Source organism: Homo sapiens, chromosome 8, assembly GCF_000001405.40.
Source record: "Homo sapiens chromosome 8, GRCh38.p14 Primary Assembly".
NCBI classification, from domain to species: Eukaryota; Metazoa; Chordata; class Mammalia; order Primates; family Hominidae; genus Homo; species Homo sapiens.
In genome coordinates this window covers 76495018-76515891 of record NC_000008.11, presented here as the reverse complement: position 1 = coordinate 76515891, position 20874 = coordinate 76495018, and the positions used below count along the sequence as shown (strand labels likewise).

The 20874-nt window shown below is 34.9% G+C and overlaps 2 long non-coding RNA genes across 2 annotated transcripts in view; one reads left to right on the top strand and one right to left on the bottom strand.

Annotated features, from left to right (window-relative positions):
• Positions 1-20874, bottom strand: part of LINC01111 (long intergenic non-protein coding RNA 1111) — a 117703-nt gene that overhangs the window by 8465 nt on the left and 88364 nt on the right. The window contains exon 4 of the long non-coding RNA NR_105006.1: positions 5408-5501. This is a non-coding gene — a long non-coding RNA (long intergenic non-protein coding RNA 1111). The remainder of the gene's footprint in view (positions 1-5407; positions 5502-20874) is intronic.
• Positions 1-20874, top strand: part of LOC107986952 (uncharacterized) — a 113744-nt gene that overhangs the window by 81788 nt on the left and 11082 nt on the right. Inside the window, exon 2 of the long non-coding RNA XR_001745962.2 lies at positions 13046-13148. This is a non-coding gene — a long non-coding RNA (uncharacterized LOC107986952). The remainder of the gene's footprint in view (positions 1-13045; positions 13149-20874) is intronic.

Below are 20874 nucleotides of genomic sequence, written 5' to 3'. Positions count from 1 at the left end.
TTTTTCTTTTAAATTTGTTTTAGACCCAGGGGTACTTATTATGCAGGTTATGTGGACATATGGCATGATACTGGGGTTTGGGTTTTTATTGAACCCATTGCCAAGATAGCGAACATAGTACCCAATAAGTAGTTTTTCAACTCTTAACCCCCTCTCTCTTTCCTTCCTTTTAGAGTTTCCAGTGTCTATTTTTCTCATCTTTATGTCCATGTATTAATGATGTTTAGCTCCCACTTATAAGTGAGAACATGTGATATTTTGTTTTCTGTTTCTGTCTTAATTCACTTAGTAAAATGGCCTCCAGCTCCATCCATGTTTCTGCAAAGGACATTATTTTATTCTTTTCTATGGCTACATAGTATTCCATGGTATATATACCACATTTTCTTTATCCAGTTCACCATTATTGGACACCTAGGTTGATTCTATGTTGTTGTCTCAGTGAATAATGCTGTGATAAACATATGAGTGCATGTGTCCTTTTGGTAGGATTATTTGTTTTCCTTGGGTATATACTCAGTAATGGGATTGCTAAGTCAAATGGGAGTTCTTTTTTAGTTCCTTGAGAAATCTCCAGCAGCTTCCCACAAGGAGTGAACTAATGTACGTTCCCACCAACAGGGTATATGTGCTCCCTTTTCTCTGCAACCTTGCCATCATCTGTTCTACTTGCGTTTTTCATAACAGGCATTCTGACTGGTGTGAGAAGGTATTTGACTGTGGTTTTGATTTGCATTTCTCTGAAATTATTGTTAATGAGTATTTTTTCATGTTTGTTGGCGACATGTATGTCTTCTTTGGAGAAGTGTCGATTCATGTCCTTTGCCTATTTTTTAATGGGATCATTTGGCTTTTGTATGTTGATTTGTTTGAGTTCCTTAAAGGTTTTGGGTATTAGTCCTGTGTTGGATGCATAGTTTGCGAATATTTTCTCCCATTCTGTAGGTTGTCTGTTTACTCAGTTGATAGTTTCTTTTTGCTGTGCAGGAGCTCTTTAATTTAATTAGGTCCTAATTGTTAATTTTTATTTTTGTTGCGTTTGCTTTTGAGGACTTAGTCATAATTTTTTTTGCCTAGGCCAATGTCTAGAAGAGTATTTCTTAAATTTTATTCTAGGATTTTTATAATTTTTCATTTTACATTTAAGTCTTTGATCTATCTTAAGTTAATTTTTGTTTACAATGAGAGGTAGGAATCCAGTTTAATTCTTCTGAATATGGTTAGCCAATTTTTCCAGCATCCTTTATTGAGTAGGAAGTCTTTTCTCCATTGCTTGTTTTTGTCAACTCTCCTGAAGATCACATGGCTGTAGGTGCGCAGCTTTATTTCTGGGTTCCCTATTCTGTTCCATTTGTCTATGTGTCTGTTTGAAGTTGGGTAATGCAATGCCTCTAGCTTTGTGTTTTTTTTTGTTGTTGTTGTTCAAGATTGCTTTGCCTATCATTAACACATACAAAAAAAGTAAATCACATTACTTTGATAATTCTGAAGGATACCTAATAGAATAGTATACTTTTTAAAGGGGAGATTACATCTCTGTTGTTTCACACTGAAGCCTTTTTGGTATATGCTCCTTTATCTTCAAAGAAACCAAGGGATATCAGAAAGACATTAAGGAAGTTTTGACTGAGTCTCCATAATGAAACATTTTTTTTTTCTTTCTCAAATGTAATCCAAGTATATGATAAAAAATTTACTATGGTACAAAATGCTGGTCTGAACAATAAGCATCCTTCTGTCTCTTTCCCGAGTCACCTGGTTGCCCTCCTTGGGAGAAGTATTCCTTTCAGTTTCTTGTACAGCTTTGCATCTAAAACTGGAAGATGCAGCTTTGCATCTTGCCTTTTTTTTTTTTACTTCATTTGGATATCTGATAAGGCATATTTTAAATTTTAAAAAAGTAGAAATGTGAAAATATGGACCTACTTAATGAAACCTTTCTTAAATTCAAAAAACAATCTTCAAAATTTATCATATCTTCTTGAAAGGGCCGTGAGTTTTGTCTTTCCATCAGTAGGTATCAAGTCATTTTTGGTCTTATACTGCTGATTAGCCTTCTATCAATTCCAAGAACAGGTCAGGTTCTTCACAACTTTGATCTTTGCTCTTCCTGTTCTCTCTGCCTTGAACCTTGTTCCCCTGATAATTTGCATGGATAACTTATTATTTTTCAGGCTTTAGTTTAACTTTAAATTCTTCAAAAGGGCTTCTGTAACATTCTTTCTATAGTTAACAACCCCTGCTGTTAGTTTTATGAGAGCACACTATGTAGATACTTCAGAGTACTCACCCAATCTGCAACTATGCTGTTTCTTTGTTTATTTGTTTAATGTCTGTGTATGTGTGCCATTGAAATATGATGTCGGCCAAGGCAAAAATAATGTCTGTCTTGTTTTTCTTGTATATCTAGCACCTTGCTTGGCACACAGTCAACATCAATGAGTATTTCATAAGTGAAAAAGAAAACAAATGAATAATAAACAAAGTCCTCTTTGAAGCCTCTGATTAACAAATCTGTGTCCGATCTCAATTTCATAAACTTTTCAATCTTTTTACATACAAAGGTATATAAAATATATTAAAACATATGAGATAAGATATAAAGGCTTTTTCCTTTTGTTCTTATAAATAAGACTACAGATACATTTCATCTACTAAATGCTTTCACTTCCTTGTGATTTCCCATAGCATCATGAATTTTTAAAAAGGCAATATTTTCTCAGTGATCTCTTCTCATTCCGTATTTACATTTGCTATTTTTTACAACTTCTCTGACGCTAAATAGGTTGACCACTACCTAAGAAACATGACAAATATGGATAGCAAAGCATTTACCAAGAATCTTTTAAAAACAAAACTAGATAATCATTTCAATGACTAAAAAATTAATGCTACTGCTAGGGGTGAAATAAACATCAGCAAGGCAGTGATGGAATGATGTTAGAATTTGATGTGTTTATATTAATTCTTCTTATATCAGCATTCTTTACAATGCCATAAAGGCAGAGCCTAGATGCTTATTATAAAAATGTAAAAGTAAATGTTCTATCATATTTGACTGTATAGGAGTTTGTACTACTTAGATGTTAAAATAAGAGTGTCTGTAGTTACCGTTTATCTTCTTAAAACAGTGCCTTTGTTTGGTATGTAAGAATACTATTTATTCACAATTACAAATACATTTCTTATATTGTTGCTTTTGAAAAATTTCTGTTTTTTTTTTTTTTTTTTTTTTTTGAGACGGAGTCTCGCTCTGTCGCCCAGGCTGGAGTGCAGTGGCGCGATCTCGGCTCACTGCAAGCTCCGCCTCCCGGGTTCACGCCATTCTCCTGCCTCAGCCTCCCGAGTAGCTGGGACTACAGGCGCCCGCTACCACGCCCGGCTAATTTTTTGTATTTTTAGTAGAGACGGGGTTTCACCTTGTTAGCCAGGATGGTCTCGATCTCCTGACCTCGTGATCCGCCCGCCTCGGCCTCCCAAAGTGCTGGGATTACTGGCGTGAGCCACCGCGCCCGGCCTTCTGTTTGTTTTGTCAAAATTTTAATTTTCCAAGTTATCAACTATTTTATTCATGATTACTGTTGTTTCATTTTGTCCTCCAACAAATATTAATTGGTCACTTGTATCAGGCACTGTAAGAAAACAGGAATGTGTTCATTTTCTACTGCTAAGATCTGTGAATGGATTTTCAAATTTATTTTCCTGCCAAATTCAGCCAAAGATATTTCTTACCACACAAGTAACTTGTAAAAAGTAGTTACTTGAATTATGATTATTGTTAAATATAGTAATGAAGGCTCATGGAAGAAAATTTTAAATGTGCAAAGAAAAAATGATTGCATAAATTGTGACAAATTGGAAATCTCTCTTTCAATATTTTTTCTCTCTCTGTATATATATATATATATATATATATATATAACATATTATATATACACAGTTACTTCAAGTATTTTTCTAAGTATAGTTACATGAGTATATACGTACACTATTTATTTACAGTTATTTAATTTTATAGATGTAGTTTGTAACTTTTTAATATAACCATCTACTTTGAACATATTTCCATAAAAACATAAACATATTTATTAGAAATATATATGATTACATTTACTGTCATCATTTATTTAACCAATCACTGTCATATATTATGATTGTTTCTTTTAAAAAATCTATTATACAAATCACTGTGTTGAATATACTTGTGCATACATCTTTTTCTAATTACTTCTTAAGCTAAGTTTTCTGGAAGTATGATTGCAGAATGACAATAACAATACTTTAGTACTTTAAATGCATTCACTCAATACTTGCATTACATGCATTTATTCATTTAATTCTCAGAACAACTCTATAAAGTACATGCTGCTTCATGATTGCTTTTGTTCTGTTTTTTCCTCCAACAAATATTAATTGGTTACTTGTATAAGGTGTTAAGATACTGGCACATAAGGAAGCTAAGACTGCACCTAATTGAATTGAAATGGCCATCTGGTGTATGAAACACCATTATTATGTGCAAATAAAAATAAAAACAAGTACTGCCAATTCATTTATGAGAAATATTTAAATATGCATGTTAGAATTAATAAAGTATGATAACTTGCTGAAGATTCTGTATTCTTTAAGTGCAGAGGTGACATTGAATTCCAAGTGTAGACTTCCAAGTCTACACTCTTAAGTATAAAACTCTGTTTTTAAAAAATGTATTCACATTTTTAAGCCTTTTAGTACTAGATTGATGGCCAGAAAGGTTGTAGCTATTTGCACTTCCCCAGCACTGTTTTTAAAAACAGAACTTTTTTCTAGGTTTCCTTGCCAATATTAGTAGATATCTTTATGCATTTTATCACTATGAAAGGTTACAAATATAATTTCATTTGCATCTATTCAATTACTCATGGGGTAAAGACTTTTGTCAAGTATTTACTGATTATTTGTATTTCTTCACTTAAAATTTTTAGTTATGTGTTCATTTATCTTTTCACATATCCAGGATACTAACAATTTGTTCATCATTGCAAATCTTTTCAGTTAGTTACTTTCTTTTTAGCTTTTTTCATGTGTTTTTAATTATAATTTTTAATTATAAACTCAAATCTATAAATTTTTTCTTACATAGCTATTGCTTTTAGTATAACTCATTCCCATGTGGCACATATACACCATGGAATACTATGCAGCCATGAAAAAGGATGAGTTCATGTCCTTTGCAGGCACATGGATGAAGCTGGAAACCATCATTCTCAGCAAACTAACGCAGGAACAGAAAACGAAACACTACATGTTCTCTCTCATAAGTGGGAGTTGAACAATGAGAACACATGGACACAGGGAGGGGAACATCACACACCAGGGCCTGTCAGTGGGTGGGGGGCTAAGGGAGGGATAGCATTAGGAGAAATACCTAATGTAGATGACGAGTTGATGGGTGCAGCAAACCACCATGGTAGTGTGTACCTATGTACACATTCTGCACATTCTGCACATGTATCCCAGGACTTAAAGTATAATAAAAAAAAGAAAAATAAATTAATATTGTTAATTTTTGACAATATATATTTCTTGAATCTGCATGTATTGATCAAGAACCAATGCTAACTGATAAAGGAAGAAATAACCTGAAAGACTATGCATAATTCATAAAAATTCAATAAAACAGAAGAATCAGTTTTGAAAATTGGGCAAGAACCAAGAGGCATGTTGGACAAAGATAGGCAAAATTATTCTGAAGGAACTTTCTAGTAAGGATCCCAAAGCTGGCAGTGGTATTGTATATTAGATGTTGTGGATTGTCACCAATAACCATAATAAGTTGATTTTGTTCTTAACACTACTGCTGTCAGAATTGATTTTATACTAGAATGTATTCTTCAGATTTAAAGTTCTGTCCAAGACAGGTTGATTGTTTGAAGGAGATCTGCCTGTACTTAGTAAAATCAGGCATTTGAACTTCAGTGGTTTTATATTTTGGGGTTATAATATGTCAACGAAGCAAATTGTAATAGCTAGCATAAGTGAAATAATAGTAAAAGAATGTAAAACTACCATTTAAGAAGGCAAAAAGGCAGATAATAACATATTGATAAAATAAGGCAAGAAAGAGGAAGAACGAAGCATTTAAACATGTAAATCTAAGGCAAAGTAATAGTAAGATACTAGATATAGACAAATCATATCAATAATCACATTAAGTATAAATGGACTAAATACTCTAATTAAATGATTACAATATCAGACAATGATAATTTTAGAACACCTTACCCTATGCTATTTAAATATGAGACTTAGACACTCTTAAAATATAAGGACACAGAGCCATGCAACATGAACCTCCCTAAAAATATGACTTATGTAGTTATACTAATATTAAAGTAGATATTAATGAAGGAAGGATTACTAGAGGTAAACAAGAATGCTTCATAATGAAAATAGGTCAATTTACTGGAACGATATAATAATTCATAGTCTGTATAAATGCAACAATAACTTCAATGTAATGCAAAAATTAATGATATTAAGAGCAAAATATATAAATTCCCAATTATGTTGGAAGATTTTAATACATCTCTCTAACTGATAGAAAAAGGAGATAAGTTGTCAGTGAGAATACAGAAGATATGAGACCTGAACAACATGATAAAAAAAACCTCAACCTAATTGAAATGTACAGAAACCACACTCAACAGTGACAGAATATACATATTCTTTTCAAGTGCACATGAAACATATCAAAAAAAACTTCAAAGGACTGAAATAATTCAAAGTATCTTTTCTGACCACTGTTAAAATAACAAGAAATGAATCAAAAATGTATAACAAAAATATGCAAACATTTGGAAATTATCAGTATACTTCAAATAGCTCATAGGTCAAATAAGAAATCATAATAAAATTTTAAAAGATTTTGAACTGATTGTTAACACAGATATAATGTACTAAGACTTGTGAGATTTCATTAAGGCAGTGCTTAGAAGTGCATTACAATATATATTTAAAAGTGTAAGACTGAAAATCAATTATTTGAAGTTTCATATCAAGGAACTAGAAAAATAAATCAAACTTAAATAAGATAGAAGTACAATGATAGTAAGGAGCAGGGATCAACAAAATAGAAGATAAATATACAAAATAAAAATCATCAAAAGCATAACAATTTTATAATTTGAAATGCTTATAAAAAGATCCCTAGCAAGATGAAGAAAAAAGATAACATAAATGATCAATATCAGAAATAAAAAGGGGACTTCAACCCAGATTCCACAAACATTAAAATGATAATTAAATGTGATTATGAATAATTTTATGGCAATAAATCTGAAAATTTAGAAGAAACTGACGAATTTCTTGGAAAATACAACTTACCAAATTTTATACATAATAATCAAAATAACAATATTTGTATTAGAATTGTGCTATGGTTTGAACATCTGTGTCCCCTAAAATTCACATTTTAAAAGCCCAATCACCGATGTGATGATAATAGAAGTCAGGACCTTTGAGAGTCAATTAGATCATGAGAGTGCCAGCCTCTTGGATGAGATTAATGCCTTTTTTTTTTTTTTTTTTTTTTGAGACGGAGTCTCGCTCTATTGCCCAGGCTGGAGTGCAGTGGCACGATCTCGGCTCACTGCAAGCCCCGCCTCCCAGGTTCACACCATTCTCCTGCCTCAGCCTCCTGAGTAGCTGGGACTACAAGTGCCCACCACCATGCCCGGCTAATTTTTTGTATTTTTAGTAGAGACGGGTTTAGCCAGGATGGTCTCGATCTCCCGACTTAGTGATCCACTCGCCTCAGCCTCCCAAAGTGCTGGGATTAAAGGCATGAGCCACTGTGCCTGGACGCCTGATGCCCTTTTAAGAGTGGCTCCAGAGAGCCCCTTTGCCCCTTCTACCATGTGAAGACACAGTTAGAAGGCATCATCTGTGAACCAGACACTGAGTCTGTTGCTACCATGATGCTAGACTACCCAGCCTTAAGAACTGTAAAAAACAAATGCCTCTTCTTTATAAGCTACTCAGTCTAAAGTATTTTATTACAGTATCCTAAACAGACTAAGACAAATGGATTGATTATTCAAATTTCTATCAAAGGAAATAAGATTTAGGCCCAGTTGGCTTTGCCAGTGAATTCTAGTAAACTTTTAGTATAAAAAATAATTCAAATCTTTAAAAAACCTAAGATAAAAAAGTGAAACTATGTCCCAATTCATTTTATGAGGCTATCTTGTCTCAGGGTAGTACCAACAAATTGGTGTCATTCATGTTCCAAAGCTTCCTGTGGGATTAGCTAAAGCTAGAATCCAGCTGAAAGTACGACTGTGTTTAGTTCCTTCCCACGTCTTATCCTGCTTCCTCCACTCCCTTTGTTCTGAGAGCATGCTCTTAATAAATCACATGCACCTGAATTCTTGTATCAGGCTCTCTCCTTATGAAGAATCTGCCCCAAGACACTTGGTACCAGAGGCAAATTCTGAGGACAGGATTTTGAAGTTGGATCACTCACTGGTTAGCTGGCAATGAAGACTATTAGTGGTGTATGTGGAATGTTGATAGTCCCTGACATGCTGTATAAAACATCTGCTAGAACTTCATCTGTGGTGAATTGGGATGGGATGAAAGTGGGAGAAAATGCACTGGTATGTGAAATATCTGTGGTGTTTGACAGGTCTTGGGTGAAAAGCAATGTAAGAACTGTGGAGTTTAAAGTGAAAGCTGGAGGGCCTCCTTGGTAATATTTAAAGAAACTCAATCTCCCAAAGCTGGAGGTCAGGCCAAACTGAAAATCAGTCTCAGGACCTAATTGTTTAATAGGCTGAACGTCAGTCTCGACAACTCTTATGCTAAATCCAGAGTCTTGACAGGAATAGTTTGGATATAAACACTTGGGATAGGCATATCATGATATCTGATATCCTCTGAAGCACTCTGAGTCTGCAGAATTGGCCCATTCTCCTGTTTTTGAGGACAGTGGTTGTCCCTTGCTTGAAAATTATGTAAAGTCACACGTAAGGTATGTTTCCTACAAGGCAATATTTAGGTTTTACAAAATTTGCCTACACCTCTCCTGCTGGCCACCAGATCAAAAATTCCACCTTCCAAGGGAGTAAAGGGATTGTATGTCCAAGAGTTATGCTAGAATGGATCTGCTACAGAAGAAGAGAAAACACACTAGTTGTCCCTCAAGAGGGCATGGAGAACACTCTGTTCAACAAAACAATAGGAAATGCACTGGTGAAGGGGTCAGGATCATCTAGTACTCAGTAGTGGCTTTTCTCTGTAGTCCTGGGATATCAGAGGGAGGTTTTTTTGGAGAGGGGTGCTTTTTTTCCCCAGTGGCCATCTAGTGGCAATTAGGGTGATAGGATGATGCAATAGCAAAGGCAGCACTTGACTATCAGAAATAAGATGGGATAATTACTGTAATTGACAGAAGAGTCAGACTATCAGTCATAGGGTATAACTGATATACAAAGGGCTAATATAACATGGTGTCTTAACAGCATGTAGATGAGCATCCAAAAGGGTATTGTTTACTAGCTACAATCCGAAGAGTTAAGAAATAAATAAAGAGAAGACTGAGATTAACTACTCCAATGGATATCCATTCATTCTTTTTCAGTTTCCAACCTGAGTCAATTTTCAGACCCAGAGATTGCTTGCTGCCATTTATTCAAATATTCATATACTAAAAAAGAGGAAATACTCATATCTTTCAAGGGTTATTAGGTTTAGGTTCAAGTTGTCTCAGGTATCTAGGGACCTACAGTGCCATTGCAGAGCCCTGTTAGAGTAGGGCCATGTGTAGATCAGGTGATATGAAGTTTTCAATCAGGTACAGCTCACAGTGGGAAATTTGGTGGTCGTTCCTCATTTCCCAAATGTGTCATTGAAGCACTTAGTAGTTGGCGAAATTCTTTTATTAATTCCTTGATTTAGGATTAAAACAATTACAATAGAGTAAAAGCTATTATGGTTGGAAAGGCCACATAAAACTCAACACATAAAATTGATAAATGTCCAAGGAGACAGATAGCCTATATACCCTGATTTGATTGTTACACATTGTATACATGTATTAAAATACCACATATACCCCATAAATTTGCACAAATTTTACACATCAATTAAAAAAAGACTTAAAGGATGCAAGCCTCAGTTTCCATTATATCGTCATTTAATTCACCAGTTTGGTCCCAGCAAAAAATAAGATAGATCACTGTATACAATAGTGGACTACTATAAACTTAAAGAGTAATCACCCCATTTTTAGCTACTGTGCTGGATGCTGTAGCTTTACTAAATTAATATAGTCTCTGGCATGCAACATGTTTCTAGCACTTTGATGAAAGCATTCTTTTTAATACCCACTGCTATGGTTTGAATGCTTATCCCCTCCGAAACTCATGCTGAATTTAATCCTTAATGTGGCAGTATCGAGAGGTGGAGCCTTTCTATTCATGAATTAATGGATTTATGAATTAATGGGTTAATGGATTGCTGAGTTATGGGAATAGGACTGGCGGCTTTTTAAGAAGAGCGAGACCTCCGATAGCACACTCAGCCACCTCACCATTTGATTCTCTGTGCCACCTCATGATTCTCCAGACTTCCCACCAGCAAGAAGGCCCTCGGTAGATAAGGCCGCTTGACTTTGAACTTCTCAGCCTCCATAATCGTAAGAAATAAATTATTTTATTTATAAATTACCTAGTTTTAGGTATTCTCTTAAAAGCAACAGAAAATGGACTAAGACACCCATCACAAATTTATCAGAAAGAGTTCACATTTACATCATTTATTTATGGTCTTACCCAGTGGGATGTAGACTATATTTTAACATTTTGCAGGGCACCACATTGGTGCCATTGATGGTATTATATATATTATCTGGAACAGATGAGCAAGGAGTGGCAAGTACTTGAGATGCTACCTGACAGTCCTTCTTCGGTGGCCAAGAGAGAAGTGGTGAGACAAAATCTTGTCAACACAACAAACTGCAGATATCTGATGGTCATCTACTTTGTGTGAAGACAGAAGTGACCCAAAGATAGGTATTTATAGCCTCATGGGAAATAGTGAATAGTTTGGCTAGTTAGGGCCTCAAATGGGAAAAAAAATGGAATATATAGCAAGGAACTCTGAGAAAGTGGCAGGAAAGTAGACCTATAAGAATTAGTGAAATGTTTAACATCTTTTATACCACACCAGTGAGAATCCACTGTATAAGAGACAGTAAACAATCAAGTGGTCAGGACAGTTCATGTCAATCCACAAGACAGCCAAATATACCACATAAATTTTAGCTGACAGAAAGGAAATCTCTAATGGTTGGTGGAGGAGAGATATAATGACTATAAGTTTCGCCTCAAAATCAACTACAGCAGTAGGGGCTGAGCTTCACCCAACTAACCCTCGTATTATGAGTTTTCACTCAAATTTTGACCAATTAGAAATTATCCTTGTGTGTTTCATGTCCTATAAGTGTGTCCAAAAATACTACAGCATATTATAAAGAAATATTACATGTTTATTCAGCTGATATACTAACTACAATAAATAGTACATGGTTTTGTTTGTAATTTTGTTTGCCTTCTTGAATTTTATAAGCATTTGGAGGGATCATTTACATAACTTTTTTTTAAATTATACTTCCTTGACTTTAAAATACAATATGTGGCTTTAAAAATTAAGAAACATATGTAGAACAATACATGTGAAATAAAGATAAAAGAGGACATGTAAATAATAAAAAATAATGGAAATAGTTGTGTTAGAAACTTGAAATAATTTTTGCAATTGGCTCCTATGTTTCTTAATGAAAGTGTGAATTTCCTAACAATCAGGCCTTAGAAGGAAATAAAACGATAAGAGAGTTTTATATGACACCAGATATCACACTTTTTTTTTCTTCAAATTTTTGGAATGTATTTCTTAGACCTATTCTTCAGGAAAAGTTTATATGATAAGTATATATAAGCATTGAGAAAATCAATGGAGATTGTATTCAGCTGTAGATTTAGACAGAAGGCAATCCAACTAATTAATTTTTATTGAATGCTTAGTATTTGTTAGGCACATTTTGTAGATGATCTTATAGAGACTTAGAGTGATTACACAATTTATTCAAGGTTGCATCAGTAATAAGTAGTAGTCAGAACTTGAATTCAGGCCTGTCTTCCAAAGCCCACGTGAATTCTTTCTACTACCTTAGCCTGCAGAATATGCATCCTGTTCTTCATAAGATCTTATGTATATTGATTCTTTATGAAAAATGGCATCCATAATTTACATTTTCTAATACAAAGAAGACATACTTTGTGTGCTTTAAGCTAATGTAGACTAAGCATAACATCTTCTTGATCTTAATGTAAGATGAACTATCTGAAATTGTCAATATTGATCAAGTTTGATGCACATAAATGATAATACCATGTTTCAAGCTAATGGAAGGATAGACCCCTGAGAAGGAAAAAAGGAATCCGTAACAGCTGGGCCTAATATCTATGCCTGATATTGTTAAGAGCTGGACTGGCACTTATAGGTTGGCTATTGAATTTTACTGTGGGATATAAACTGTTTTAAAGATCACCAACATCTGATAACATTGCTCTGTGAATGTGGGAAGTGAAACACAAACAAGACTACTTGGTAATTATGTTTAAGTACAAACAAATTCAATGTTACTATGCAAACTTCAAAAATTACCAAATATCCCCCTTGACTCCTTGGCTAACAGGACAGAATTCTGCTTCTTTACCGTTCAGATCTGTTTTATTTTTTATTATCTCATCCTGGTAAAAATTATTAAGGTATCTAATCATAGTATTGCCCCCTCTCGAAAAGCTCCCAATCTAGAACAAGCCCCTCCTTCCTGGAACACTCCCCAACAATTATCTAATGTGAGCATAAATCCTGTAAGTCTCGTCCAAGTCCTTACTGAACCCAAATCCTATAAGTCCCTCCCAATTCCTAACTGCTCCCTATGGTGTGTGGTTTCGCTTGCTACAATCAGCGAATAAACGTAATTTTGTTTCACTTGTAGGTGTGTTGCTGGCAATATGTGGCCCCAGGGGAGAGGCAAAAGTGGAGGTTCCCGAGTCATCTGAGATTTGTTGCCTCGGAACAGGATCCACAGCTCAATAATAGTAAATATATCTGAGATTCCTTGTGTCTCTAGCTGTCTGAGGCATTACCCTACCAATGGCTGAGAGTTAAGTTCCTCTGGATTTAGACTTTGTTTGCAGGTCACTGTTAACAGAGAATATGAAACACTATGCTGTCTCACACAAGCCATTTCCATCATGCTTCTGCTGGGTGGTCGTTAGGTCAAAGCTGACCTCCTTGATAAATGCTTCAAATCATGATATGTTTTAGGATATGTTAAGGAAAGATACTATATATTAAAATCAATGCAAACAGGTGTAAAGATGACATTAGGTATGAACATTACAGAGCCTAGCACATTCAGCTTGAGACAGAGGCCATTGTAGAGTAATATAGACTGTAGGTATATGTGCAGACAGAGCCCAAACTGAGGTATTATAATTTTATTATCTACTGGGATACATATGTAAATGAAATGCTAATGTACTAGTATACAAAAATGCATGGAAGAGTTTATCTTGGCTTTTAAAAAGGTGGTTATTATTAATTGACAATCTTGACCATGAGATGATTTAATTATGAAATATATAAAACATTGGATTTGCAATATATATCCTCAATGGTCAAGGAAACAATAATTTACTATGCCTGCTTTGGCATTTGACAATAATTCTAAGTATTCTAAAATGAGACCTTTTTAAAATTATAAGACATTTCAAACAAAACACAGAAGTAGAGAATGATATATTGAACTCAAAGACAGTGGTATATATCATTCAACTTCAGAATTTTGCCATCTCATTTTATGTATCTTTTCATTTATTCCATTTCCCTGATGGATCACTTTAAAGCAAATCTGCTTAAGAAGCTTTTGGGCTGAGACTATGGGGTTTTCTAGATATAGGATCATGTCATCTGCAAACAGGGATAGTTTAACTTCCTCTCTTCCTATTTGGCTGCCCTTTATTTCTTTCTCTTGCCTGATTGCCCTGGCTAGAACTTTTACTTATAAGTGAGAACATGTGGTATTTGGTTTTCTGTTCCTGTGTTAGTTTGCTAAGGATGATGGCTTCCAGCTTCATTCATGTCCCTGCAAAGGACATGATCTTGTTCTTTTTTATGACTGCATAGTATTCCATGGTATACATGTACTACATCTTTTTTAATCCAGTCTATCACTGATGGGCATTTAGGTTGATTCCATGTCCTTGTTAATGTGAATAGTGTTTCAATGAACATGCACATTCATGTGTCTTTATAATAAAACGATTTATATTCCTTTGGGTATATGTATACCCAGTAATAGAATTGCTGGGCCAAATGGTATTTCTGTCTTTAGGTCTTTGGGGAATCACCACATGGTCTTCCACCTATGTAACACACCTGCCCATATACCCCTCCCCTGAACTTAAAGTAAATGTTTAAAAAAAGTAAATCTCAAGTATGTATAATTTTACTGGTTTACATCTAAGCCTGATTATATCAAGATATTTTTGAAAATAACTAGCCAAATGTCTGCATGTATTTTAAGATGTCTGTTACCATATGTTAGTAAAACAATTTCAATAGAGGAAAAGGCTTATTCTCTTCTTCTATATGCTTATTTGCTAGGGCAGATGGGAAAACAAATTATTTAGATATTAACTTTAGAAGAAAGGCATTTGCATTGTTTTGATTTACTCGATTTATAACTTAATTTACAAAAAAATTATCTGAGTCAGTAGCAATAGGTACAGAATTTGAAAAAAAAATTAAAACTTAAATACTGAGGAGGAAAAGCAAGATAGCCAAATAGAACCCTCTAGTGATCATCCTCCGCTCCTCTACAGGAACACTAAATTGATCAACGATCCACACAAGAAAGCACCTTCATGAGAACAAAAAATCAGATGAGCAGTCACAGTACCTGGTTTTAAAATCCTATTAAAGAAAAAGGCACTGAAGATGGTAGAAAAGCCACTCCTGAATTGCTGTCACCAGTCCTCTCCCATCCTGCATCAAGTGGGCTCCTGGGGTCCTTGATGCAAGGCCTTGGTCCCCAAAAAGCACTTTTTGACCCACCTTGGGACAGAGGGGAGCCCACTGACCTGAACAGAAAGACCCAGGTCTGGCAGCATTCACCACAAGCTGACTGAAGAGCCCTTGGGCCTTGAGTGAGCATCGGCAGTAGCCAGGCAATACTTGCTGCAGGCCTGGGGTGGTGATGGCCATGGGGAGAGGCTCCTTCTGCTTGAGGAAAGAAGAAAGGAGAGTGAGAAGGACTTTGTCTTGTGACTTGGGTGCCAGCTTAACCACAGAAAAATAGGGCACTGGGTAGATTCCCAAGGTTCTCATCTCTAGGCTGTGGTTCCCAAACAACATTTCTGGACCTGCCCTGGGCTGTGGGGAGCTCACTACCCCAAAGGGAAGGCCAGAAGCCTGGCTGGCTTTGCCACCTGTTAATTGTAGAGCCCTTGGGCCTGGAGGGAACATGGGCAGTAACCAGGCACCGGTTGCCAAGAGCCTTGGGTGAGAAGCAGTGCTCTGCTGGCTTTGGGTCTGACCAAGGGCAGTCCGAGTGGTGGTGGCCACAGCGGTGCTTGTGTCACCCCTCCCTCAGCTCCAGACAGCTCAACGAAGAAAGAGAGGCTCAATTTGTTTGGTGGAAAAGTAAGGGAAGAGAACAAGAGTGTTTTCCTGGTGATTCAGAAAATTCTCCTAGATCTTACTCAAGACCACAAATGTGATACCTCTACGAGTCTTCAAGAGTCACAGTGTCACTGGGCTTGAGTTGCTTCCTAATGCAGATATGGCTGCAGTGACCAAAGACTTAGAATACAACACATAATTCCCTTTGACTACTTGGAAAGCCATCCCAAGAAGAATGAATACAAATATGCCTAGACTATGAAGATTGCAATAAATGCCTAACTCTCCAATGCTAGACACCAATGAACATCCACAAGCATCAAGACCATCCAGGAAAATATGATCTTACCAAAAAAACTAAATTCGGCACCAGTGACCAATCCTGGAGAGACAGAGATATGTGACCTTTCAGACAGATAATTCAAAATAGATATTTTGAGGAAGCTCAACAAAATTTAACACAATACAGAGAAGGAATTCAGAATTCTATGGATAAATTTAACAAAGAGTTAGAGATAATTTAAAAAGAATCAAGCAGAAGTTCCAGAGCTGAAAAGTTCAAATGATATACTGAAGAATGTATCATAGTATCTCAGTGGCAGAGTTGATTAAACAGAAGAAAGAATTAGTGAGCTTGAAGATAGGGTATTGAAAATACATAGAGGAGACAAAAGACAAAAGACTAAAGCATGCCTAAAAGATCTGGAAAATAGCCTCAAAGGGCAATTCCCAGAGTTATTGGCCTTAAAGAGGCGGTAGAAAGAGAGATCAGGGTAGAAAATTTCTTCAAAGAATAATAACAGAGAACTTTTCAATCCTAGGGAAAGATATTAATATTCAAGTACAAGAAGGTCAGAGAACATGAAGCAGATGTAACCCAAAGAAGACTACCTGAAGACATTGAAAAATCAAACTCCCAAAGGGCAAGGATAAAGAAAGAATCCAAAAAGTAGAAAGATAAAAAAACAACAACAATGGAGCTCCAATACATCTGGCAGCAAACTTTTCAGTGGAAACTTTACAGGCCAGGAGACAGTGGCATGACATATTCAAAGTATGAAGGTGAAAAAAACCTTTTACCCTAGAATAGTACATCTGGTGAAAATATTCTACAAACATGAAGGAGAAATAAGTACTTCCAAACAAAGTGAAAGCTTTGGCTATTCATCAACACCTGACCTGTCCTACAAAATACACTAAAAGGAGTTCTTTAATCTGAAAAAAAGGTTGTTAAGCAGTAAGAAATTATCTGAAGGTACAAAACTCACTGGTAATAGTAAACACACAAACATGGATTTTTAAAATGTTAATGTATTTTATTTAACTTGAAATATCTAAAATGTTATTTCAACATGTAATCAATATCAATTATTATCAAAATTCTTTTGGTATTTTTTTCTAAGTTTTTAAAAATTGTATTTTAGGTTCAGATGTATATTTGCAGGTTTGTTATAGAGACAAACTCATGTCACAGAGGTCTGTGGTACAGATTATTTCATCACCCAGGTACTAAACCTAGTACCCAATAGTTATTTTTTTCTGCTCCTCTCCCTTCTCCAATCCTCCACCCTCAAGTAGTCTAAAGTGTCTGTTGTTCTCTTCTTTGTGTTCATGAGTTCTCATTATTTAGCTCCCATTTATAAATGATAACATGTGGTATTTGGTTTCTTGTGTTAGTTTGCTAAGGATAATTATAGCCTCCAGCTCCACCTATGTTCATGCAAAAGACATGATCTTGTTCTTTTTTATGGCTGCATAGTATTTCACGGTGTATTTGTACCACATTATCTTTATCCAGCCTGCCATTTATGGGCATTTAGGTTGATTCCATGTCTTTGCTATTGTGAATACTGCTGTGATGAACATAGGAGTGCATGAGTCTTTATGGTAGAATGATTTATATTCTTCCAGGTATATTGCTGGGTCAAATGGTAATTATAATTTTAGGTCTTTGAGTTATTGTCATACTGCTTTCCAGAATGGTTGAAATAATTTACACTCCCACCAATGGTCTATAAGCGTTCCTTTTTCTCCACAACCTTGCCAGCATCTGTTCTTTTTTGACTTTTTAGTAATAGCCATTCCACTGGTGTGAGACGGTATCTCACTGTGATTTTGATTTGCATTTCTCTAATTATCAGTGATATTGAGCTTTTTTATATATTCTCGTTGGCTGTATGTATGTCTTCTTTCAAAACATGTCTGTTCATGTCCTTTACCTGCTTTTTAATGAGGTTGTTTGTTTTTCTCTTATAAATTTGCTTAAATTTCTAATAGATGCTACATATAGGAGCTTTTTTCAGATGAATAGTTTGCAAGTATTTCCTCCCATTCTGTATGTTGTCTGTTTACTCTGTTGATATTTTCTTTTGCTGCACAGAAATTTAATTAGATTCAATTTGCCAATTTTTGCTTTTGTTGCAATTACTTTTGACATCTTTGTTATAAAATCTTTGCCTGTTTCTTCGTCCAGGATGCTATTGCTTAGATTGTTTTACAGAGTTTTTATAGTTTTGGAGTTTACATTTAAGTCTTTAATCCATCTTGAGTTGATTTTTGTTTACGGTGTAAGGAAGGCATCCAGTTTCAATCTTCTGCATATGGCTATCCAGTTATCCCAGCACCATATATTGAATAGGGAATCTTTTCCCCATTGCTTGTTTCTGTAAGCTTTGTCAAAGATGAGATGGTTCTAGCAGTGTGGCATTATTTCTGGACTCTCTATTCTGTTCCATTGATCTATGTGCCTGCTTTTATACCACTATCATTCTGTTTTGGTTATTGTAGCCCTGTAGTATAGTTCATAGTCAGGTAACATGATGTCTCCTGGTTTGTTCTTTTTGTTTAGTATTGCCTTGGCTATTTTGTCTTTTTTCACTCCCTGTGAATTTTTAAATACTTTTTTTCTAGTTCTGTGGAGAATTTCATTGGTAGTTTGTTGGAAATAGCATTGCATCTGTAAATTGCTTTGGATAGCATGGCCATTTTATTGATACTGATTCTTCCTATTCATGAGCAGGTAAAGAGTTTATGTTTGTTTGTGTTTTCCCTGATTCTTTGAGCGATATTTTGTAATTCTCACTGTAGAGATCTTTCATCTCCCTGGTTGGCCAAATTCCTTGGTATTTTATTTTTTTTGTGGCAATTGTGAATGGAGTTGCCTTCCTGATTTGGCTCTTGGCTTAGCTGTTTTTGATGTATAGGAATGCTAGTGATTTTGTACATTGATTTTGTGTCCTGAAACCTTGCTGAAGTTGTTTATCAGCTAAAGGAGCTTTTGAGCTGAGACTGTGGGGTTTTTTAGATGTAGAATAACGTCGTCAGAAAACTGGGTAGTTTAACTTTCTGTCTTCCCATTTGGATGCTCTTTATTCCTTTCTCTTGCTTGATTGCTCTGACCAGGACTTCCACTAATGTGTTGAATAGGAGTGGTGAGAGAAGGCATCCTTGTCTTGTGCTGGTTTTCAAGGAAAATGCTTCCAGCTTTTTTGTTCATTCAGTATGATGTTGGATGTGGGTTTGTCATAGATGGCTCTTTTTATTTTGCCATATGTTCCTTTAATACTTATTTCATTGAGAGTTTTTAACATGAAAGGATGTTGAATTTCATTGATAGTCTTTTCTGCAATTATTGAGATAATCATGTGATTTTTGTTTTTAGATCTGTTTATGAAACAGTATATTATAACGCCAGTAATGGTGTGGAAACTACTCATATCTTGAGTATAAAGGCTAAAAGATAAAATTATAAAATCTACAACTTTTCAGGAAATAATAAAATAAGATATAATATAAACAACATAAAGTTAAAAAGTTGGGGGATGAGATTAAAGTGTAAAGTTTTCATTAGATTTCTCTTTGCTCGTTTGTTTATTAGTTTGTTTTTGCAGTGAGTGTTAAGTTGCCATTGGTTTAAAATAATTGGTTATAAGATGTTATTTGCAAGTCTCCGGGTAACCTCAAATCAAAAAGCTTCCCAAAGATACATAAAAAATAAAAAGCAATAAATTAAAACATACCACTGGAGAAAATCACCTTCAAAACAAAGAAGGAAGGAAGAGAAGTCTACAAAACAAACAGAAAAAAAATAACAAAATGGCAGTAGTAAGTCCTTAGTTATCAAGAATAAAATTGAATATAAATGGACTAACTTCTCTAATCAATAGATAGAGAGAAGCTGAATGAATTAAAAAAAATATATAAGACCCAACAGTCCATTCCTTGCAAGAAACACACTTCACCTATAAAGAAACACATAACTGAAAAGAAAGGAATGGAAAAAGATATTCCTTGCAGTTGAAAAAAAAAAAAAGCAGGAGTAGCTATACTTATAGAAAACAAAATAGATTTCAGACAATTCTACAAAAAGAAACAAGGTCATTACATAATGATGAAGATATCATTATATAATGATCAAAAGGGTATAACAACTTTAAATATATATGCACCCAACACTGTAGCACTCAGATATATAAAGCAAATATTATTAGAGCTAAAGAGAGAGATGGATCCCAATGTAATAATAACTGGAGACGTCAACACCCAACTTGCATTATTGGACAGACATTCCAGACAGAAAATCAACAAAGAAACATTGGAATTAATCTGCACTATAGACCAAATGGACCAAATAGATATTTACAGAACATTTCGTCCAACAGCTGCAGAATGCATACTCTTTTCCTAGCACATGGATCATTCTCAAGGACAGAAAATACATTAGGCCAAAAATAAGTTTTAAATTTTTTTTAAAAAATTAAAATATTATACAAATGTCTGCTCTGACCACAATGGAATAAAACTAGAAATCAATAAGAAGAGGAACTTTGGAAACCATACAAACACATGGAAATTAAGCAATATGCTCCCAAATGACCAGTGGGTCAATTAAAAATTAAGAAGAAAATTTAAAAATTTCTTGAAACAAATGAAAATGGAACCACAACATACCAAAACCTGTAGGATACAGCAAAAACAGTACTAAGAAGAAAGTTTATAGCAATAAGGAACTACATCAAAAAGTAGAAAAACTTCAACTAAACAACCTAACGATGCATCTTAAAGAACTAGAAAAACAAGAACAAACCAAAGCCCAAATTATCAGAAGAAAAGAAATGATAATGATCAGAGCAGGAAAAA